This window comes from Homo sapiens, chromosome 2, assembly GCF_000001405.40.
Source record: "Homo sapiens chromosome 2, GRCh38.p14 Primary Assembly".
Lineage (NCBI taxonomy): Eukaryota > Metazoa > Chordata > Mammalia > Primates > Hominidae > Homo > Homo sapiens.
The window spans coordinates 98,648,403-98,673,855 of NC_000002.12; the positions used below are offsets into that span (position 1 = coordinate 98,648,403).

The 25,453-nt window shown below is 38.5% G+C and overlaps 1 protein-coding gene across 2 annotated transcripts in view; it reads right to left on the minus strand.

Moving 5' to 3' along the window:
* MGAT4A (alpha-1,3-mannosyl-glycoprotein 4-beta-N-acetylglucosaminyltransferase A) overlaps window positions 1-25,453 on the minus strand; it is a 112,027-nt gene that overhangs the window by 29,297 nt on the left and 57,277 nt on the right. Inside the window, exons 1-5 of one of the 2 annotated variants that reach the window (NM_001160154.2) lie at window positions 14,939-15,071; window positions 14,644-14,777; window positions 9,816-9,862; window positions 7,950-8,063; window positions 7,043-7,118 (exon numbers count right to left, since the gene is read on the minus strand). In NM_001160154.2, the coding sequence (NP_001153626.1) occupies window positions 7,043-7,118; window positions 7,950-8,063; window positions 9,816-9,862; window positions 14,644-14,777; window positions 14,939-14,957 (390 nt within the window). In that variant the 5' untranslated portion in view covers window positions 14,958-15,071. Of the gene's footprint in view, window positions 1-7,042; window positions 7,119-7,949; window positions 8,064-9,815; window positions 9,863-14,643; window positions 14,778-14,938; window positions 15,072-25,453 lie in introns of those variants that run through there. The other variant, NM_012214.3, reaches the window with a different exon arrangement.

Consider the following 25,453-nt stretch of genomic DNA (forward strand, 5'->3'; position numbering starts at 1 on the left):
GGCAGGAGAATCACTTGAACCCGGGAGGCAGAGGGTGCAGTGAGCTGAGATCACACCATTGCAGTCCAGCCTGGGCTAGAGGGAGACTATGTCTCGAACAAACAAACAAAAACAGCCTGGGCAACAAAGTGAGACCCTGTTTTTACAAAAAGTAAAAAAAAAAAAAATTAGCCAGGCATGGTGGTGCATGTCTGTGGCCCCAGCCGCACAGGAGGCTGAGGTGGGAGGATCATATGACCCAGGTCAAGGATGCAGCGAGCTGTGAACTGTGTTTGCACCACTGCACTCCAGCCTTGGCAAGAGAGGAAGACCCTGTCTCCAAAAAAAAAAAAAAAGCTCACTGACACCAGTGGACCAGTGGCTCAAACCTGTAACACCTGCTCTTTGAAAGGCAGAGGCAGCAGGATCATTTGAGGCCGGGAGTTCAAGACCAGCCTGGGCAACTTAGCAATACTCCCATCTCTACCAAAAAGAAATACAAAAATTAACCCAGTATGGTGGTGCATGCCTTAGTCCCAGCTTCCTGGGAGGCTAAAACAGGAGGATCACTTGAGCCCAGGTGTTTGAGGCTGCCATGAGCTATGACTGTGCCACTGCGCTCCAGCCTGTGTGACAGTCAGACTCTGTCTCTGAAAAACAAAAGAATGTTCATTGAATTTGACTTCGAAAGAACTGAACAATTAGAAACAATCTAAATGACCAACAAGAAGGTTGATTATGATATCTGAATAACAGGACTTCAAGAAGGGATTAAAAATCACACCAATCTGTATTTACTGGCATAGCAAGGTACCTATCAACAGTATGTTAAGTGACAGCAAAAAAGGTTATCAGACAGTACATACAGCATGATCCTCTACTGTAAAAGAGGGCTGTGTGAGAGTGACATCAGCGAGACAGAAACAGGAAACCCAGACACACAAGACACATTCCCCACACGAGACACAGATTTAAAATCTGAGCATTCCACAGCCAGAGGCCCTCTCTTGGGCACAGACCACAGTGAGGAAACACTCAATTCCCGACTTCTCCCTAAGGAGAGAAAGAAGTTGGTGTATACCCAGTGTTTTTGACTTTTTCGAGTGCAGCCAGAGGGAATGATTTCTGTCTCATCTAAATCATAGTGTCAGGAACAGGGCACCAGGTTGGGAGCTAAGAACAAAGGCCATCAGTTGGCACCAGAGGCTGCAGTACCAGAGACAGAAACTAGGTGGAGCTCCAGTACTGCAGCTTACTACAATACCAACAAGGCCACAGTGCTGCAGAGCTCCTGACTAGAAACCAGTCAACTTCAATTAGGAGATTACACCCACAAGCAGAGAGGACATGGCCCCAGAAAAGGCTCAAAGGGCTCCAGAGTCTTTAACTAGGCTGACTGAAGAAAATCCTTCCACTACAAAACCAAACTGCAAAGACTGGGAGAGGTGGCTGATTTTTCAAATGCCAAGATCCCAACAACAAAAAACAAGATATACAAATAAACAAAAATATGGTATATCCAAAGGAACAAGTTAAAACTCCAGAAACCAACCCCAAAGAAATGAAGACATATGAACTGCCCAGTAATTCAAAATAACTGTCATAAGATTGCTCAGTAAATTAAAAGAGAGCAGAGACAGACAACTAAATGAAATTTGGAATATGATGCATGAACAAAATGAGAATATCAATAGAGATAGAAACTATAAAGAGCCAAACAGAAATTCTAAAACTGAAGAATACAAAACCTGAATTGAAAATTTCACTAGAAGGACTAAACAGCAGACCTGAGCAGGCAGAAGAATCAGTGAACTTAAAGATAGGACTTTTGAAATTACTGAGGCACAGGAGCAAAAAGAAAAAAGAATAACAGAAAAATAGCGATACCCTAAGGGACCTATGGACAGCACAAAGTGAAACAACATACACATTATGAGAGTTCTACAAGGAGAAGAGAGCCTATTTGAACTTCCCAAATATGAGGATAGAAATGGACATACAAATTCAAAAAGTTCAAAGAACCCCAACTACAATAAATTGATCTACACCAAGAAGAATCATAATGAAGTTGTCAAAAGTCACAAAGAATCCTGAAAGCCATAAGAGGAAAGTGACCCAACAAATACAAGATAACGTCTATTAGATTATCAGCAGATTTCCCAGAAGAAACTTTATTATAGGCTAGAAGAGGGTGGAATGATATGTTCAAAGTGCTAAAACATACTAAACAAAAACTGGCCAGCCAAGAATATTATATCTGACAAAATTGTAATTCAAAAGTAAAGAAGGCCAGGCGCGGTGGCTCACACCTGTAATCCCAGCACTTTGGGAGACCGAGGCAGGTGGATCACCTGAGGTCAGGAGTTCGCGACCAGCCTGAACAACGCGGTGAAACCCCATCTCTACTAAAAATACAAAAATTAGCTGGGTGTGGTGGTGGGCACCTGTAACCCTAGCTACTCGGGAAGCTGAGGCAGAATGGCGTGAACCCGGAAGGTGGAGCTTACAGTGAGCCGAGATCGCGCCACTGCACTTCAGCCTGGGCGACAGAGCAAGACTCCATCTCAAAAAAAAGGAAAAGAAAAAAAGAATGTTCAGGCTGGGCGCAGCAAGGTGGAGGTTGCAGTGAGCTGGGATTGTGCCACTGCACTCCAGCCTGGGGAACAGAGCAAGACTCCATCTCAAAAAAAAAAGAAAGAAAGAAAGAAAGAAATTAAGACTTTCCCAGATAAACAAAAGCTGAGTGAGTTCATCACCACTAGACCTGCCCTACTGCTGAAGGAACATTTTCAAGTTGAAGTGAAAGGTCAATAAGCAGTAATAAAGCACCATATAAAAATATAAAACTCCCTGGTAAAGGTAAATATACAGATAAATATAGACGTAGTAAGGTAATGCAGGTGCATGAATCACTTTAAAATCTGGTACCCCTTTCAAATCTTTTGATCACATTAAAATCACTTCTTAAAGACTAAAAGCACAAACAATAATTATAAATCTGAGTTAATGTATATGCAATATAAAAAGCGGTCACTGGTGTCATTGGTAAAATAGAGTGCAGGGGAGACAGAGATGTAAAAGAGTAGAGATTTTATTTGTCATTGAAGTAATAAATAGACTGTTATAACTTTAAGATATGTAATTGCAATGGTAACTACAAAATGAGTATCTATTGAATATACACAAAAGGAAATAGAAAGGGAATCAAAATACGTCACTATTTTAAAAAATCAACGAAACACAAAAGAAAGCAGCAAGAGAGGAAAAGATAGACAAAAAGTTCCAAGACATACAAAAAAATAAAGTAAATGGCAATAGTAAGTCTTTCTGTATTAGTAATCACTAAAAATGTAAATGGGTCAAACATCCCAATTAAAAGACACAGTTAGGCCAAATGGAAATTTTTAATGAGATCTATTAATATACTATCTACAAGAAACTTACTTTACATCAAAAGACACACATAGGTTAAAAGTGAAAGAATGAAAAAAGATAATTCATGAAATCCAGAACTGAAAGAAAACAAGGATGGCCATACTTAGACAAAATAAGACTTTAAGACAAAAACTGTCACAAGAGACAAAGAAGGACATTGTACAATAATAAAAGGGTCAGTCAAATCTCTGAAAAGACATAACAATTCTAAATAAAGATGCACCTAATAATAGAGGTCTCAGATATATGAAGTCAACACTGACAGAATTGAAAGAAGAAACAAACACCACCACAATAATACTAGGGGGTTTCAATATTCTACTTCAGTTATGGATAGATCAGACAGAAGATCAATAAGGAAACATCGGACTTAAACAACACTATAATCAAACGGACCCGACAGACATAAAGAACACTGATCCCAACAACAGCAGAATACACATTCTTCTCAAGAGCATATGGAACATTCTCCAAGACAGACCACATGTTAGGCCCCATAATATCTCAACAATTTTTTTTTTTTTTTTTTTTTGAGACAGAGTCTCACTGTGTCGCCCAGGCTGGAGTGCAGTGGCGCTATCTCGGCTCACTGCAAGCTCCACCTCCCGGGTTCACGCCATTCTCCTGCCTCAGCCTCCCTAGTAGCTGGGACTACTAGGCGCCCGCCACCACGCCCGGCTAATTTTTTGTATTTTTAGTAGAGACGGAGTTTCACCGTGTTAGCCAGGATGGTCTCGATCTCCTGACCTTGTGATCTGCCCACCTCAGCCTCCCAAAGTGCTGGGATTACAGGCGTGGGCCACCGTGCCCAGCCAACAATTTTTTTTAAGACAGGTTTTCACTCTGTCACCCAGGCTGGAGAGCACAAGGCTCACTGTAGCCTCAATCTCCTGGGCTCAACTGATACTCCCACCTCAGACTCCCGAGTAGGTGGGACTACTGGTATGCACCACCATGCCCAGTGAATTTTTTGTATTTTTATTAGAGACAGGATTTCGTCATGTTGCCCAGACTGGTCTTGAACTCTTGAACTCCTGAACTCAAGTGACCTGCCCACCTCAGCCTCCCAAAGTGTTGGGATTACAGGTGTGAGCCAGTGCCGCCCACCAACAAATTTAAGAAGACTAAAACTATGCAATGTATCTTCTCTGACTACAACAAAATGAAACTAGAAGTCAATAGCAGAAAAGTAAACCCAGAAAATACACAAATGTGTGGAAATTAAACAACTCGCCCCTAAACAACCAATGGGTCAAAGAAGAAATCACAAGGGATTTAGAAAAAAATCCAGAAACAAACGAAAACAAAAAAAAAAATATACCAAAATGTATGATATATAGCAAAAGCCATACAAAGAGGGAAGTTTATACCAGTAAACATTTACATTAAAAAAAAGAAGAAAGATCTCAAAATCAGCAACCTAACTTCAACCTCAAGGAAATTGAAAAAAAGAAACAAACTAAACCCAAAATTAGCAGAAGGGAGAAAAAAAAATAAAGATTAGATCAGATAAATAAATAGAAAAAAATAAATAAATAGAAAAAAAAAAGCAGAAAAAAACCCAAAGAAACCTAGAGTTGGTTTTTGAAAAGATCAATAAAATTAATAAACCCTTAGCTAGATTAGCTAAGAAAAAAAGAAGATTCAAATAACTAAAAGTAGAAATGAAAGAGGGAACATAACAACTGATATCACAGAAATAGAAGAATTACAAGAGACTACTAGGAACAATTATGTGCCAACAAATTGGATAATCTACAAGAAATGGATAAACCTCTAAAAACAATTTTCCATGGGTGAATCATGGAGAAATAAAAACTTTGAACACACTTATAATAACTAAGGGGATTAAAGCAGTAATCAAAAACCTCTCAGCAAAGAAAAACCCAGGACCAGAGAACTTCACTGGAAAATTCTGCTGAACACTTAAAGAATTAACATCAATCTTCCTCAAACAGCTATCTTCCAAAGAACTGAAACAGAGGGAACACTTTTCAAACACATTCTAGGAGGCCTGCATTTCTCTGACACCAAAGCCAGACAAAGACACAAGAAAACTACAGACCAATATCCCTGATGCAAAAATCCTCAACAGAACACTAGCAAATGGAATTAAAATGCACATTAAAAGAATTATATACACCATAACCAAGTGGGATTTATACCTGCAATACAGGGATCGTTCAACACACAAAAATCAATCAGTGTAACATATACTACATTAACAAAATGGAGGAAAAAAACACATGATCATCTCAATTGGTATGGAAAAGCATTTGACAACATTCAAGACACTTTCTTGATTAAAAAAAATGTGACGAACTAGAAATAGAAAAAAACTTATTCAACAAAATAAAGGTAATATATGAAAAGCCCATCGGTAATATCACACTTGGCAGCAAACAAATGAAAGCTTTCCCTCTAAGATTAGAAGCAGGGCAAGGAGTCCCACTTTCACCACTACTAGTCAACATAGTGCTGGAAATCCTAACTAGAGCAATTAAACAAGTAAAAAAAGTAAAAGGTACCCAAACCGGAAAAGAAGAAGTAAAATTATCATTATTTGCAGATGAAATAATCTTATATGTAGAAAAACCTAAAGAATCCACCAAAAACTACAAGCAATAAATGATTTCAGCAAAGTTTCAGGATACAAAATCAACACACAAAAATAGTTGTATTTTTGTATACTAACAATGACCAATCCAAAAAAAAAATCAAGAAAACAATGCCATTTACTGTAGTATCAAAAAAGATAAAATACTTAGGAATAAACCTAACTGGGGAGGTGGAAAATTTTTCTACAAAACATTTCTAAAAGAAATCAAAGAAGATACAAATAAATGGAAAGACATCTTGTGCTCATGTATTGGAAGACTTAATAATATTAAAATGTCCACACTACCTAAAGCGATCTACAGATTCAATACAATCCCTACCAAAATTCCCAAGGCATTTTTTACAGAAATAGAAAAAAATCCTCCTCAAATTTACATGGAGTCTGAAGTGACCCTAAACAGCCAAAATAGTCTTAAAAAAAAGGGAACACAGTTGGAGGCCTCATACTTCCTAATTTTAAAACATGCTACATGTCAGGTGCAGCAGCTCGTGTCTGTAATCCCATGACATATTGTGTTCTTGGTAAAAATTGGACTGTTGTGCTGCTAAAAATAATTGGACTGTTAGAATTAAATGTCAATTTTATTATCTTCAAAATAGTGGTAACAGTATTGTGGCCTACAAAAAAAAATTAGTTCATTGTAAGACCACTAAAGAAAAATTGTAAGAAAATTCCTCTTTAAAATCTGCCAAATAATGACATCTTAGTTCTTCTTGACAGTGGAGAGAGGGAAGAGGGAAGAGAAGATGGGGGAATGGGAGAAAAAGAGGAAAAAGATAAGTGAGTTGCAGGTCCCCCGCTAAGTGGAGGGCTGGCTTCCCTACTCAGTGGAGAAACATCAGAGCCCACATGCTCAGTTACCATGGAGACCCCTCTGCTCTGAGATAGTTATGATTTGTCAGATCTCAGAGGGTTTGCACTTTCAAAACTTCCTGTTTTAATGAAAACATACCCTTGATAACACTTTTTCTTTACAAGCATGAAAAACAAAGGAAAAACTACACTTACCTGAATGTAATATATGCCCTTTTCTTGAGCATACATCATTAGAAAACAGTAATCTAGGTTTTGCTTTGTTCTCCATCTGAAATAAACATTTTCAAAAAGTAAGTTAGGAATCAGACTCAAATTTAGTAAAATAAGATTAAATGTATAAATGTCAAATGTCTACATAACATGTCATCTATGTATATGTGTACACACACACACATACACACACACTCACTTAGGACGAAGAGTCAAAGAAAATTCACTTTCCTCTAATGAAGACTTTATCAAAATGTATTCCCAAGAACACTAATTCTCAAGCTGTCCTGAGGAAAAAAATGAGTCTAATATCAAGTAAGTATGTATACATGTTCCCCTTCTAGAAACATATTAATTCATAAGAGGCACAAAAATATCCAACGGTAAAGACATTTATTGGGAAAAAAATTCTTAATACATATTTTTCCAAACTTCCTTGACCACAGACCCTTTTTTCAGTAATATCTTAATGTTTCATCAAATGAGTGCTTCAAAAATTACAATTTTAGGGTCCCTATTCTGGTGCCTAGGACTGTTTGCACGCAGATCAAAGTTCACAAATAGGTACTGAATGCTTTAAAAAATTCATATTTAAATTTACAGTATTAAACCCTGTCAGTGAATTCCTGGTAGCCTACAGAAACACATAAGAGAAGTGGATCTAAAAGCTAGTTTAAGAAAACACAGTAAAATAAAAGCTAATATTAAGTTTTTACATATTCTAAGAAAACTCTACATTATTTCCAAGCGGTCCTGGACTTAATGAGACTTACCTAGAATATTTTACCAAATTCAACTCTAAAATGTTTTCAGCTTCGATAAATAAAAACTACATGTATTAAATATTTACACTCACAAGTGTGGAGGATTTTAAACGGCACATGCTCACCTTACTCTTTCTTTGGAGTCTCCAAATGTCTCCTTTAGGTTTGTCAAGTCAGGATAATAGCTTTCAGGGGGTGATATGACTTCCACCAAGCCAGAACTGATTTCTTTAGAAAATCTATTATGAGAAAGTTAGCTGAGTTACTTAAGTTCTGTGGGATTTTATTTATCTTAAAGCTCAATACACTGTGTTTAACATAAAACACATCAGTAATCATTTGTAGCAACGTATAATGTTATGGCCGCAAGGTGTTAAAAGGAGCAGCTCATCACTGATTTCATTTACAGAAAATACAGTTTTTTCCAATAGCAAAAGTTTTTTTTTAAAGTAATGCTTTAAAAACTATAAAATACTGCTCTTATTAAAGTAGCATAGAAATCCTAAGCCAACTGCAGGCATTAACGTTCCTAAAATGTATCTGAATTAAAAAAAAAAAATCAAGGTCTCACAGAAAATAGAAAATTGAAGAAAAACAAATAAGTATGTATGTGTCTTTAAATACGTATATTTTGCAAAAACCAAAGCTCTTACATCTTCAAGAAGCTTTGCTTGTGGGTTATAGACCACATGTCATTCTCAACCAGTGTTTCTCAACTGGGGGTGATTCTGTCCCTCTGGAAGACATTTAGCAATGTCTGAAGACGTTCTGGTTGCCACAACTGTGATCAGTACTACTGACGCCTAGTGGGTAGACATTAGGGATCCTGCCCCACATTCTACAATGCATACGGCAGCCCCCACAACAAAAAATTATCTGGCCCAAAATGTCCATTGGGCTGAGGTTAAGAACCCTTTCTAAAGTTTTTAATTAGTCTGTACTGACTGAATTGCAATTTCTTTTGCATTTGCATTCTCCCTTGATTCATTTTTGCAAATCTCCACAAAATGCTAGTGCAACTGCCTGCCTTTGCACAAATGTTCTTAATGTTTAACTGTACTTTTTGTCTGAGCTTGGTTTTCTACACACTAAGGAAGATGTAAATCACCAGAATCCTTGCATAAGCCCACAGACTTGCCCCTGAGGTCAGTGGGAAAGGGGACCAATCATTACTGCCCTGTTCCTTAAGAAGTCTATGCCAAATTTTGTTTCTATAAGGACTTCCAAGAAACTCAGCACTTCAGGAAAACCAAACAAATAACAATTTAATCCTGAACTATAATGTTTTTAAATATTCAATTTTAACATTTTGATAGACAAGGAGCCACATTATTTTAAATGTAGGGTTAGCAAATAATTGTTGCTTCTTTTTTGTCTTTTCTTTTTAAGTAGAAGGTATATCTTTTAGGGACAAAAAACAGATACAATTTAATGAAGAAATTCATAGCAAGACTAATTTTATTACGCTATTGAAACTATTAAGGCAATATTATAAAAAATAATATCTGAAACTTACTAAGCTTTCCCTCTGTTACCTACCATGTGCCTCGCTCATAGTAAACTGCTACTCAATCTTTGCAGAATACAACAGATTAAGACATAGCTTAAAATTGAGGTCTGAAATTACTACGTTAAATATCTACCCTGAGAGCAGGAAGATTTTGCCTGGTAAATACAGTGTGAAAGATTTAATCTCATATGACTCTCTCTGTATTCACTGTCTTCAAGATTAAAGACTGTTATTTAATAGTGTTACATACATAGGACATTCAAGTCTTTTCTATAATGAAATAAACCAATTTATCCCATCACATAACTAGATATATATGCACCTACTTTGGGACAATATCAAATACCAATCAGAGGTGATCTAATAAACAATGAACTCCACAGAGAAATGAACTATCAAGGAAGGCATTTTCTTTTAGCAAGAAACCCAAGAGATAATAGTAACCAAAATATTTGTATGTTTATAATTAAGAAGAACTTACTCTTTCTCCAGGTTGGCTACAACACCATGTACATAATCAATATCTGTCTGGGAAAGAAAAAAAATGTATCTATATTCAAGTTTTTATATTTTTATTTAACTGTTAATACTGAACTCGAAATTAAATGAATGATAAAAACATTCATTAAAACCATACATTAAATTTTTAGACAATTTATTAAATTTGCATTTCTGTATTGTTCTATTGTACTACTGAATGTCACTGAGCACTTGCTAATAAGCAGATATTGAAGTTTTTATTATTTTAATTGTCTGTGTTGCATTCACTAGGAAAACTGAACACAAAAACTACTTCTATCAAAACATCCAAACTATTGTGAATAGCATTAGTGACAGATGCTGCACGATATGAAGAAAGATTTTTCTACTTGGAATCATAAAACCTAGGTTCAAGGTTTGCCTCTGTAGCTACTGAACTGCATACTCTAAAGTCATTTCTCTGAGTTTCAACCTATTCTATGAAAAAAAGGAAATACCTTACAGATTATGAGATTAAATGATAAAACTATGTAATAAAAAACTGCTATTATTACACCATATTAATATTACACTGACACTGAGAACTGAATCAAGAGCACTTCAATCAGTTAGAAATAAACATTTATCAGATCTGCATATTTTTAAATTATGAACAAGTCAAAATTCTAATACTTCTTATTAATTTTTCTTTATTTTCTTTATTGATTTAATGAATCACATATTCACATTTCACAAACATTTACTGAATGCCTACTCTAGGCCAGGCTGCACTGCAGTGAACAAGTCTAAGCATGGCAGGCATGTTTTAAACAGACATTTTCAACCAAGTTCAGATCTAACCCAGCATGGAGGGTAGAAGCATCAGAAGAGGATGCCTGGAAGAGGTGACGTTCAACAGTAAGAATTGGCTTGTTCCAGGGCTCTGGCTCCCAGGGGTCTAACAGAGATAAACATCATTAGCTTTTCTCCTCTAAGAGGTAAACGGAGTCTGTCTCTGATGCTATGTCAAAGACCGTGAAATTGGGTCAAAGTGAAACCACTTTCTAGGCTAGCTGTAAGGACTGACAAACAGGGTGGAGCACAGGTGATGGGCAAATGTAAATAATTATGAGCATTATTTCTCCGGTGTGTGTGTCCAGACATCATCCTCCTCCTAACTCCAGATCCTTGCCCCTTCAAGGACCCCAGGAAGCCCAAGGGACAACCAGGCCAGGGACATGGCAGGCTGGGTTACAGGGCCATAGCCACATTTTTGAGCCAGCCAGAGCCCTATTGATATGGTTTGGCGTGTCCCCACCCAAGTCTCATCTCGAATTGTAGCTCCCATAATTCCCATGTGTTCTGGGAGGGACCCTGTGGAGATAACTGAATCATGGGGGCAGTTTCCCCCATACTGTTCTTGTGATAGTGAATAAGGCTTATAAGATCTCATGGTTTTATAAGGGGTTTCCCCCTTTCACTTGATTCTCATTTTCTCTCTTGTCTGTTGCCATGTAAGACATGCCTTTCGCCTTCTGCCATGATTGTGAGGCCTTTCCAGCCATGTGGAACTGTGAGTCCATTTTTCTTTATAAATTACCCAGTCTTGGGTATGTCTTTATCAGCAGCATAAAAATGGACTAATACACCTACCTATCAATTTTAAATACAGCGATAACTTATAAAAATGCTCAATTGTTAAAAGACTCAATGATATATAAAATATAATCTATGTTATAAAGACTGTCAAAGCACTTAATACTTGAGAAAAACAAACAAAAAAGGTATAGCTTAATCCTGGAAATTGCAAAACCATCAAATTATAAAAAGTTTTTATAACAGGCTTTCTGGAAAACAATATACAAACATCGGTAGCATTTCTACATACTAACAATGAACTATCTGAAAAAGAAATCAAGAGAACAATCCCATTTAAAATAGCTACCAAAAAAATACTTAGGAAAAAATTTAACCAAGGAAGTGAAAGAACTAGACACCAAAAATTATAAAATGTTGATGAAATAATTTGAAGAACACACAAATAAATAGATATCTTTGCTCATGGATTGGAAGAATTAATATCATTTAAATGTCCATATTACCCAAAGTGATCTACAGATTCAATGTAATCCCTATCAAAAAATTTAATGACATTTTTCTCAGAAATGGGAAAAAAATCCTAAAATTCATATATAACCACACACACACACACACACGCACGCGCACACACACACACACACACACACACACACACACACACACAACAAATAGCCAAGGTAATCATGAGGAAAAACAATAAAGCTGGAGGCAACACACTTTATTATTTCAAACTATACTATGAAGCTATAATAATGTAAACAGTATGGTATTGATTTTTAAAAAACAGACACACTGGCCAATGGAACAGAATATAGAGCCTAGAAATGAACTCATGTATGTATGGTCAATTGATTTTCAGCAAAGGTGCCAAGAACACTCAATGAAAAAAGTTTCTTTAGTAAATGGTGCTGAGAAAACTGGATATCCACATACAGATGAATGAAAGTGGAACTTCAACTCACGTGAAATATACAAATAAACTCAAAATGGATTGAAAACAAAAGAAGACTCTAAAACTACCAGAAGAAAACATAAGGGAAAAACTACACGACATTGGCCTGGGCAATGGTTTTTTGGATATGACCCCAAAAGCTCAGGCAACAAGAACAAAAATAGACAAATAGGATCACATCTAACTAAAACTCTTCTACATGGCAAAGGAAATAATTAACAGCATGCCTGACAACCTATGGGTTAGGAGAAAATATCTGCATGCTGCACATCTGATAAACAGTTAATATCCAAAATATATAAGGAACTCAAACAGCTCAAGAGTAAGAAAAAACACTGAAAAAATAGGCAAAGGACCTGAACAGACATTTCCCAAAAGATGACATACAAATGGCCAACAGATATACGAAAAATCCTCAACACTGCTAATCATTAGGGAAATGCAAATTAAAACCACAATCAGATATCATCACATCTGTCAGGATGGCTAACTGTCAAAAAGACAAAAGATAACAAGTATTAGGAAGAATGTGGAGAAAAGAAACGGATGGATATATACACTGTATCCATACTGGATACATACATGGATCCACTGTATCCATATTATCAAGCTCTGAGTATAGGTTGGTAAATAAAGAAGATCTCTGTTTGTAGAACTTAAAACTGGTGAGAGAAGCAGTTCATAAGCAAACAAACAAAAATATGTACACATATGTATGTGTATATATAACTGAATATTGTGTTATAAAAATAGAATGCAATAATAGAGGAAAAACAGAGATGGCCTACTTAAACATTACATTCAGAGAAAATCTCTCTGAAGACTTGACATTTAAGCCTAAATTTGATACATATTTCTATTCAAATGTACAAAACTAAACAGAAAACATTAAAAGGGCTATTTTAAGTTCATTAATTGGAGCTTTGTCCTTAATAGCATGTTGATGCTATAGCAATGGTTCTCATTTTTTATTAGAACCCATTTAGTTAAAAACATGTTCATAATTTACCCATCTCTGATCACCTCCATGAACAGTCTCCCAGTCCAAGCCTCACCTCGATTATGGCAACAGCTTTCTAAGTAGTCTCCTTTCTTTTGCCCTTACCAAAGCAGACAGCAGGATCCTTTTTAAAAAGGCAAGTCATATTATTCTTGCCAAAAATGCATAGTCAAAATATAATCATGAGAAAATATCAGATAAATCCAAACTGAGACATTTTACAAAATAACTGACCAGTGCCCATCAAAAATGTCCAAGTTCATGAAAGACACAAACATGGACAGGAGGAAGCTAAGGCATGAGAACCGCTAACTGCAATGTGGTGTTCCATAGTGCATGCTGGAACAGAAAGGCGAACCCAGGCGGAAAAACAGGAAACTCAAATAAAGTCTGTAGTTTGGTTGAGTATTATATCAGTGTTAATTTCCTGGTTTTGATAACTATAATATGGCTACATATGTTGTTAACATCAGAGCAAGCTGAGTGAAGGAGATACCCTCTATAATTTCTGCAACTTTCTGTAAATCTAAAATTATTTCAGAACAAAAAGTCTTAACATATAATTTGAAATAGTTATATTTATGTAGAGGAGTAACAGGTAATTTTTCATTATATATTTATGTAATTGTTTTGAACAGTATGCATTTGTTTACTTCTCTAATAAGGAAATCATCAAGACCATTTTCATTTAAAAAGACATGGGGAACTCTAAAAAGTTAGGAATTAGTGGGCCAGAACTAGACCATGTCCTAAATCCTTTCCCATTCTGAAATTCTATACAATAATTAAGAAAATATTTACTCTAGGGTCTTATTCCTCATGATTTAAAAAGAACTTGCTCAAGATTTATTCTTTCTCTAAATCTTTTGAGGAGACTAAAATACAAGAAGTGTGGTATTTCTCATTCACATGATTTCTTAGGAGTACAGAGAAGGGATGGAGAGAATAAAAGAATGATAAAACCCCAGCTGAGCCTAAACCTTTTTCAGGTTTCAGGACTCCCAAAGATCATCAGTGCAAATCTCCAAATTTAAGTCTTAGAGCTAGAAATAGGCACACGTTCTTAAAGATCTACGGGTGTAACATCCTATTGACAACAAATATTACTATTCCTGGTTTGTAATTGCAGGACAGAAGTGAGTTCAATTTACATTAAACTACCAGATAGAATATATTACCTAAGCTTTACTCATCACATTTTTTAAAAAGCGTTTTTAAAAGCATATTCAAATATTCAATTAGAGTTTCAACTCTTATAGGCTATATTTGGTAAAAACATAACAACAATTAAATAATTACCTCTCCTATGAAGACTACTATAACACAGTCCAACTTCTCTTCAGGATACAGGTTATCAATAAGGGAATGAAGAGTTTCTATGAGGTAAGATTTAACTTCTCTCTTCACTGTGGGAATGCCCATGACTATTGAAACTGGAAAAAAAAATAGTAATTATATTAAAAAACTGTACAAGGACAATACAGAAAAACACTTCTATTTCAAAAGTATTATACCCTCTCAAATTGATAGGAATAACTGATGGATCAAAATATATTAAGTTTCAGGAAGAAAAATAAAGAATACAAGGGCATACCTGTAATACTGTAATTCATTTTCACATGGCTTAACCATAAGAAAAAAAGAACTGATAAAAATGAAAGACATTAAACTTCACACTAAAAAATGAATGGCTGCGAAGTATAAACAGCAAACTGTATTTTACAACTAAAACTTAAAAACACTAAACATATCTTAAAAACTAATGTCTTATCTCTCGACTTCAAGCATGTGACATGCCGAGAAGAGCACAACATCAGTTCTGTGGTTGTTCTTGCCAACAATGCATAACCTCAACTTAACCGTAAAGAAACATCAGAAAAATCCAAACTGGGGCAATGCTCCACAAAATAACAGTACTCTTTAAAGTGTCAAGGTCATGAAAGACAGAGTAATGAATGGTCCCCGATTGGAAAAGACTAAGGAACCACGACAATTAAGTGAAATATGGGATCTTGATTTGGATCCTGAAAGAGAAAAACAGCAACAATGAAACACATGACAAAATCGGAGTAAGAGCTAAGGTTAGTGAACAGTGTAGCATCAACGTTAACTTCCTGGTTTTTGATCGCTATACTATGGTCATGTAGGGACACTGGGTAAGGGCATATGAAAACTTTGTGACCAGGCACAGTGGTTCACGCCTGTAATCCCAGCACTTTGGGAGGTACAGGTGGTACACTGCTTGAGCTCAGGAGTTTCAGACCAGCCTGGCCAACATGGCGAAACCCGGTCTCTACTAAAAATACAAAAATTATCTGGGCATGGTGGCGCACACCTATAATCCCAGCTACTTGGGAGGTGGAGGCACAAGAATCGCCTGGGAGGCAGAGGTTGCAGTGAGCTGAGATTGTGCCCCTGCACTCCAGCCTGGGTGACAAAGCAAGATTCCATCTCAAAAAAAAAAAAAAAAAAAAAAAAAAAAAAAGAGAAAACTTTGTGTACTATTTGTGCAACATTTTTAAAGACTAAAATTACAGTCAATGTTCCTATAATGCTTGTTTTCAATGCAAATTTGTTTCTACATGATTAACATATTAGGGAAAAACTGGGGCATAACACATGAATTTCACATTAGCTTACGTGCAATTTGTCCTCTGAGACAAACACCAGGTGAACAACAGAAAATTGTACCCAGCTGAATTGAGTTCAGAAAATTAAACCGAACCATGTAGAAATACTGCATACAAAATGCACGCACCTCAAAATACCTACCAGCTGTCTCAGTTCACCACAACTATCAACCACACCCATCCACACTGGGTGTTGCAACCTTCCATCAGATTGCAAATAACCTACCTCACAGCCCTTCACAATAACTTACAAGCTGCAATCCTTCAGCAACCCACTTCAACAAGCAAATCTCAGGGCTTTTTCAAGATGGAATGCCACATTTATGTGTTTCTTAATCATTTAACTTGCGAAAAACTGTGCCACTATTATAATTAGGTTCTTATCCTTTTTTATAGTGTAACTGACAAAGTGTTTGAGTGTTGTGATCCTAACCCCCTTGCTCTCATTTTTTTGCACCATTTTCATACCACAGTGATTTTTAGGAACACTTATACTGCATTATAGAGGTATTTCAAAGTAAATTTTTAAAAATTATGCCTTAAAGTCTTAGTACGCTATGTATCAATACAGAAGTATTTTAAATATGGTAAAAACAACTTAGTCTTAATCATGCAACAATTTTTTGGAGATACTAAAAAATACTTATAATTCACAGAATTCTAATGCCAGGGGCTGGGTGTGGTGGCTCATGCCTGTAATCCCAGCACTTTGGGAGGCCGAGGCGGGTGGATCACGAGGTCAGGAGATCGAGACCATCCTGGCTAACACGGTGAAACCCTGTCTCTACTAAAAATACAAAAAATTAGCTGGGTGTGGTAGCGGGCGCCTGTAGTCCCAGCTACTCAGGAGGCTGAGGCAGGAGAATTGCTTAAATCCAGGAGGCGGAGGTTGCAGTGAGTCAAGATCGCGCCACTGCACACCAGCCTGGGCAACACAGCAAGACTCCATCTCATCTCAAAAAAAAAAAAAAAAAGAATTCTAATGCCAGAAGGGAGCGTAAAGACCATGGATCTACCACCATGATTCTTGAGGTAAGAATACTAAGATGCGAAAGGTTTAAGGGACTGCCCCAAGGTCTCGTGACACAACCCTCTCTTCCATTTTAGGCAAGAAGAGTTCTCAAGCACTCAAAAAGATATTTGCTCTATGAGACTCCGTCCCCCCAAAAAAAGATATTTGCTCTATTTGTTTTGCACATATTTACTGCAAGGCACTATTCTAGGTGTTAAGCATACAATGGTAAATAACATAGGTAAGGTCCCTGCCCTCATGGAACGCACATTCTAGAAAGGGGAAAAAGATTTAAAATATATGTATCTTACAGGCTGCTATGTATAGGTTGGTACTGTCAGAGTGATGAATGGGGAGGGGGTACCCCTGTAAGTCGTGTGGTCACGGAAGGCCTCTCTGATATCAGCTGAGCTGGTAACCATGAGAAAGAGCTGATGAAGAATACTGCAGAAGAGGAAGCAACAAGGCCCTGAAGCCAGAATGATTTTGACATAGTCAAGAAATACCAAGAGCAGGTTGGATCGAAAGCAGAATAAGCCCAGATTGAGAAAATCAGTCAGGGGTCACATTGCATATAACAAAGTTTGTTTTAATGCTGAGTGCAAGAGAAAGCCATTGTAAGGTTGTAAGCAGGGGAATGACATTATCCAATTTGTAATTTTAAGAGATTACCAAATTTCACAAAAAGTAAAAGCACTTTGGAAGAGTGGTTAGGAAGTTAATGTACTAACTGAAGGAAAAGATGGTGGTTTGAATGAGGCTGTAGGGTGTTTGAAGAGGTGGAGATGAGTGGATGATGGAGACCCTTGCAAATAGGGCTTCAGCTGGCAGACAAGAGAAGGGGAGGAATCAAGGGTGACTTGAGTAACTGGACGGGGGCAACTTTCACTCAGAACAACACACTTGAGGAGAGGGCCTCCAATCCAGATTTCTCTTCTGACCATGTTACTCTGAGATCCCAAAAGACAGGATGAGTTACAATGGAAGCAAAATTCCATAGAATAATCTACCTCAGAATTTAAGGCCGGGTGTGGTGGCTGATGCCTTTAATCCCAGCACTTCAGGAGGCTGAGGCGGAAGGATCGCTTGAGCCCAGGAGTTCGAGACCAGCCTGAGCAACTTGGCAAGACCTGGTATCTACAAAAAATAAAACACTTAGCTGGGCATGGTGGCGCATGCCTGTAGTCCTAGCTACTTGGGAGGCTGGGGTGGGAGGATCACTTGAGCCTGGGAGGTAGAGGCTGCAGTGAGCTGTGATCACACCACTGTACTCCAGCCTGGGCGACAGAGCAAGACCCTGTCTCAAAAAAAAAAAAAATTACCAGCGTAACAACTAGGATGAGGAGCATTCCTAGAAAATGCTAACTCATGGAGTACAAAGACTTCACTATGATGAAAGCAAAGCCCATGGTGATCCACAGTGTGCAAACAAGAATGGCATAAAGTCACAATGCAAATTCTCTATCCCTACCATACTCTCGAGGGTTTTTGGTTTCCGTTTTGCTTTGCTAAAGTTTAGATGGCACGTGATATGGTTTGGCTGTGTCCCCACCCAAATCTCATCTTGAATTCCTACGTGTGGTGGGAGGGACCCAGTGGGAGGTAATTGAATCATGGGGGCAAATCTTTCCTGTGCTGTTCTCGTGATAGTGAATAAGTCTTACAAGATCTGATGGTTTTAAAAAGAGGAGTTCCCCTGCACAAGCTTGCTCTCTGCCTGCTGCCATCCACATAAGATGTGACTTGCTCCTCCTTGCCTTCTGCCATGATTGTGAGGCCTCCCTAGCCACATGGAACTGTAAGTCCAATTAAACCTCTTTCTTTTGTAAATTGCCCAGTCTCAGGTATGTCTTTATCAGCAGCATGAAAATAGACTAATACAGTAAATTGGTACCAGGAGAGTGGGGCACTGCCGAAAAGATACCTGAAAACGTGGAAGTGAATTTGGAACTGGGTTAACAGGCAGAGGCTGGAACAGTTTGGAGGGCTCAGAAGGCAGGAAAATATAGGAAACTTTGGAGTTCCCTAGAGACTTGTTGAATGGCTTTGACCAAAATGCTGATAATGATATGGACAATGAAATCTAGGCTAAGGTGGTCTCAGATGGAGATGAGGAACTTGTTAGGCACTGGAGTAAAGGTGATTCTTGTTGTGTTTTAGCAAAGAGACTGGCAGCATTTTGCCCCTGCCCTAGAGATTTGTGGAACTTTGAACTTGAGAGAGATGATTTATGGTATCTGGCAGAAGAAATTTCTAAGCAGCAAAGCATTCAAGAGGTGACTTGGGTGCTGTTAAAGGCATTCAGTTTTTGTTGTTGTTGTTGTTGTTGTTGTTGTTGTTGTTGTTTTGAGACAGAGTTTCGATCTTGTGGCCCAGGCTGGAGTGCAATGGCATGATTTCGGCTCACTGGAACCTCCACCTCCCAGGTTCAAATGATTCTCCTGCCTCAGCCTCCCGAGTAGCTGGGATTACAGGTGCCCACCACCATGGCCAGATAAGTTTTGTATTTTTAGTAGAGACAGGGTTTCACCATGTTGGTCAGGCTGGTCTCGAACTCCTGACCTTGTGATCCACCCGCCTCGGCCTCCCAAAGTGCTGGGATCACAGGCGTGAGCCACAGCGCCCGGCCAGCATTCAGTTTTAAGACGGAAAGAGCATGAAAGTTTGGAAAATTTGCAGCCTGACAATGTGATAAAAAAGAAAATCCCATTTTCTGAGGTGAAATTCAAGCCAGCTGCAGAAATTTGCATAAGTAATGAGGAACTGAATGGTTAAGCTCAATGGGGAAAATGTCTCCAGGGCATGTCAGAGACCTTTGTGGCAACCCCTCCCATCACAGGCCCAGAGATTTAGGAGGGAAAAATGGTTTCCTGGGCTGGGCCCAGGGTCCCTCTGCTGTGTGCAGTCTAGGGACTTGGTGACCTGTGTCCCAGCCACTCCAGCCTTGACTAAAAGGAGCCAAGGTACAGCTCAGGCCATGGCTTCAGAGGGTGCAAGCCCCAAGCCTTGGCAGCTTCCATGTGGTGTTGAGCCTGCAGGTGCACAGAAGTCAATAATGGGGAACCTCCACCTAGATTTCAGAGGATGAATGGATATGCCTGGATGCTCAGTTAGAAGTTTGCTGCAGGGGCGGTGCTCTTATGGAGAACCTCTGCTAGCGCAGTGCGGAAGGGACATGTGGGGTCAGAGCCCCCCCAGCAGAGTCCCTATTGGGGCACCACCTAGTGGAGCTGCGAGAAGAGGACCACCGTCCTCCAGACCCCAGAATGATAGATCCACTCATGGCTTTTACCACATGCCTGGAAAAGCCGCAGACACTCAACACCAGCCCATGAAAGCAGCTGGGAGGGAGGCTGTACCCCGCAGAGCCACAGGGGCAGAGCTGCCCAAGACCATGGGAACCCACCTCTTGCATCAGTGTGACCTGGACGTGAGACATGGAGTCAAAAGAAATCATTTTGGAACTTTGAGATTTCACTGCCCTGCTGGATTCTGGACTTGCATGGGGCCTGTAGCCCCTTTGTTTTGGCCAATTTCTTCCATTTGGAATGGCTGTATTTACCCAATGCCCGTACCCCCATTGTACCTAGGAAGTAACCAGCTTGCTTTTGATTTTACAGGCTCATAGGTGGAAGGGACTTGCCTCATCTCAGATGAGACGTTGGACTGTGGACTTTTGAGTTAATGCTGAAAAGAGTTAAGACTTCAGGGGACTGTTGGGAAGGTATGATTGGTTTTGAAATGTGAGGACATGAGATTTGGGAGGGGCCAGGGGCGGAATGATATGGTTTGGCTGTGTCCCCACCCACATCTCATCTTGAATTCCTACATGTTGTGGGAGGGACCCGGTGGGAGGTAATTGAATCATGGGGGCAAGTCTTTGCTGTGCTGTTCTCCTGACAGTGAATAAGCCTCACGAGATCTGATGGTTTTAAAAGGAGGAGTTCCCTTGCACAAGCTTGCTCTCTCTTTGCCTGCTGCCATCCACGTAAGATGTGACTTGCTCCTCCTTGCCTTCCGCCATGATTGTGAGGCCGCCCCAGCCACGTGGAACTGTTAAGTCCAATTAAATCTCTTTCTTTTGTAAATTGCCCAGTCTCAGTATGTCTTTATTAGCAGCATGAAAATGGACTAATACAGCATGTTTAGAGAATAAACCATTTTATCCCTAATTATACTATTTTAGAGTTAAAATTTAAATTATTTAGCTTAAACCAGGGTATTCAAAGACTTCAAAAGCACTAAACATGAAACTTGTAATTTCAGCCAAACCTACAAAATTAAGAGTGACCATGCTTATGGTAATTTGCAAAATTACCACCAAAAAAGGGTAGTTTCCTTGGCCTTCTGAGCCCATGGTGGGGGCTGCCCTTCTTAGTCCCCTTATGGTTGGGGACTGTGGGGCAAAGGGGATATAATTATTAATAGCCCATGAGTCATCAGCATGTGTAATCTGTGGGCTGAGCACTGATAACTACAGTGTGAAATCCTTGAGATTGTTCTCTTTGGCAGAGCAGCCAGAAACATTCAAGATGGCAACTGCTCTGTCAGCCTGGATCCCTGCATGACTGGTCAACCTTGGTGGACACGTACTATGAGCAAAAAAATAAATAAACATTTGTTATCTCAATCACTGAGACTCTGGAGTTGTTAGTTACCACAACATAACCCAGCCTGTCCTATCTGATACAATGTTCTTCTACCATTTACAATCCAGAAAATGTAAGTATTCTACTGAGTTAGAGTTAAGAAGAAATATGTCAGCAAAGTGAAGAATATGGTCATATCATCCTTTTAGGCAGGAGTAAGATGGACCAAGGAAACCAAACAGAAACAGAGCCAACGGGTTGGGCTAGGTACTGGGATCACTAATTTTGTTTTAATTCTGAGTGCAAGAGTTCCACTGATTAGCCACCTTGTATTTCCAATTCAAGCAGTAATTGTGCATATGTAGTACCTCTATTATGTACTAGACAGTCTGAAATACAGTCATGAGATAGGTAAGGCCCCTACCTCATGGTATTTATAATTTGACAGAGCTATCAATTGTGATTATTTCATTTTCTTCCACTTTCCCGGGAAGTTTTCAAATTCTAGTTCGTATTTCCTTTAAAGTAAAAAAAGAATTAGGAAAAATCTTGGCATTCTCAATCTTCAGTAACTCAATCTACCTTTAGTTATAACTAAATTATGTCCCTTTAAAAATGTTCATTGCTAGCCAAATATTTTTAGCCTATCATGTTTCCTTATGGTTTCACTTTAGTCATTTATTCCTCATTGCTTTCCTTATATCTCATGACAGTTTTTTTTCTTCCACTGCCTAGTTGCCCTTTCTCTGTCTCTGTCTTCCTTGTGTTCATCTTCCTCTTTCCCTGGAAATTAACTGCTGGAAAACCTTCAAGTCTCAGTCCTAGGCCCTAGGAGATCTCATCCATTTCTGCGTCTTCAACCACTTATTCTCAAACAATGACTCATAAAATTAAATCTAACTCAGATCTCTCCTTTGAGTCCCAGATCTAAATATCCAACTGCCTACTCCAACATCTCCACTGTGATATCTCAAAATCACCTCCAAATTATCATATTCAAATTTAATCTATAAACCTCTCTTGCAAACCAATGATGCAAAACAGTGTCTATTGTCCCCTATCTCACTGAATGGCCCACCATGCATCCAGTCACTCAATCCAGAAACCCTGGGTTCATTCCTGACCACTCCTCTACCTCAGTCCACAAATCCAGAACATGACTATGTCCTCCCTGATACATTCTCATATGTTCCAAACAACTCTAGGTCCATCTTCTTCTTCCCATCTCTACAACTACCACTGCTACCTCGTCCAAGTTCCAAGTTGACCCTCTCTCCAGTGGATCACTGAAACGGCCTATCTGGTTTTTCATTATCTATTCCTCTTCCCACATCCTCAACCATTCTTCCCATTGCAGCAAATGTGATCTCTGTAAAATTTAAATCTTATCAAGTCATTCTTAATAAGTCCTGTTGAAAACCCTTCAATGGCTTCCTACCGCTCTTAGGATAGAAACCAAAATCCCATAAATGGTCTAGGAGGCCCTACATGGTCTGGCCTCAACTTACATCTCTAGCCTCATCTTGTTCCACACACTTCCTCACTCTACACGTAAACTACAGTGACCTTCTTTCATTTTCTAGAACATTCCACACTCCCTTCCACCACAGGACTTTTGTGGTGCTCTTTCCGTCTTCTGGAATATTCTTTTTTTCCCCATTGTGATGGAGAGAATAATAGTCGCCCAAAGATGTCCATGCCGTAATTCCTGGAGCCTCTGAATATGTTACCTTACATGGCAAAAGGGACTTTGCAGATGTGATTAAAGTTCTTGAGATGGGGTGATTATTCTGGATTAGCTAGTGGGCCCAATATAATCACAAGCGTCTTTATGAAAGGAAGGAGGGAGGGTCAGAGTGAAAGAAAGAGATGGAACAACAGAATCAAGAGGGTCATGGTCAGAGAGATTTGAAGATACTGTACTTTGACGATGAAGGAAGAGGCCACAAAGTAATGTGGAAAAGGCAAAAAAAAAAAAAAAAAAAAAAAAAAAGGATCCTCCCCTAGAGATTCCAGAAGGAACACACCCCTCTTGACAACCTGGTGTTAGGACTTCTGCCTTCCCAAACTGTAAGATGAGAAATCTGTGTTGTGGTTTAAACACAGTGAGTTTGTGGCAATTTGTTACAACAGCAATAGAACACCAACACACCCATCTTCACCAGTAAATGATAGATTCTACCAGCCTCAGGCCAAACGTAATTTCTCAGAGTTCCTTAAACTCCCTAATTAGGCCAAAAGTCCCTCTTACACATTCTCAAAGCATCCTTTACATCGGTAATTAAAGTTATAATTATACAGTTGTTTGTATAATTGACTATGTGACTAATACGTGTTTTCTTTACTGGGCTGAAGCTCCACAAGACTCGGAACCACATCTAATTTTGTGTACCAAAGTATCTGGCAAGGTGCCTGGCCCATAGCAATTGCTCATGGACTTTCATTGCAGCAAATACTTCAAGAATTATCTGTTATCCTCTACGAAGCAGTTGTGCCGTTTTGGTAGATAACCCAATGAGAGTCTTTGCTCAGCCCTCTTGCTCTACCCTGAATGGGCCCTTTAACCTGAAAACCTGAAGGTTTCTTCAACTCAAAGAAATTTACTTCTATAAGCTGGTAATTCCCTCTTTTCACTCTCTTTGTTCACTCCTTCTGAAATGACTACCAGATGAACATTAAAACTTTTGTCTACTTCCATTCTTTATGCGTTTATGCTGCATTCTGGAAGAAATACACAGCTCGGTCTTTCTGATCACTAATTTGATCTTTAGCTATGTCTAGCTAAAATTCCATATCAGTCCCTCGATGTAGGATTTTTAAATATAATCATTGAAATCATAAGCACAAAAATTTCTAACGGATCCTTTGATAATGGTCAGTTATTGTGTTATGGGCAAGTTCTCCTCCCTCATTTCTAAAAATATGTTGATGCTTTATTTTTAAATCATATTCAGTTTGTTCTGCAAACTCAATTTTCTTTAGTATTAAGTCATTCGTGGTACTAATTTTCCTAAATTATTCAGCAACCCCTTGTTGCTGAAGTCGCCCTTGCACCTGCTTGTAGTCGCTGGGTTTGTTTGCCGCAGCCTGCCTTGGAGAATGTGGTGGAAGGATACAGATGTGGTGCTGGGTGGTGCGCCGACAGTTTTCTGTTCTGGGCATTGAGAATCCCAGCCGCTCCCCTGGGGTCAGCAGCCACCGGCAGCACTGTCCTTCCTCTTCAGCCTTACAATGGCTTAGCTATTCTAAGTGCTGTTCCCTAATTAATCAGCCTGACCACTGGAAAACAGAATTTTTAGCAAGAAGCTGTTTTTCTTTATCTAAGAAACAGAAGTTCTGAATATGAAGCCCTAGATAAGTTCTGGGGTTCCATAAAACCCCAGAAATTACAAATAAAATTATATTTTCTATGGGCATTTTCCAAAGTAGAGATTGACAGCTTTCCTAGAATATCCAAAAGGTCCTGTAACTAAAAATATTAAGAGCTTTTCCTAATGATTTAGGGAGGAAAATGTTTAACGTAAATATGGGTTATTTTTTCTACCAAGCTGTTTTTTCTACCTTTCAAAAATAGTAGCAGCTTTATAAGAATGTTAACTATTGGAAAGCTGGTTGACCAAGATTTTATTATATTTATAATGGATAAAGTCATGTAAACAAATGGGATGGAATACATAGCTTCAAAAGAAAGAGAATGTCACATTTACAAAATAAAAACCTATTAGAGACCTTGGACATTTTAAATGACTTTAAAAACACTTCTAATTTCTTTTCATTTGATACTCTTATGAATGAAGAAATAGTGTAAACAAACAAACCCACAACTACTTAAGACATCTTACCCAAAAAGTGACTATTAAAGGGAGAGATGATATCAG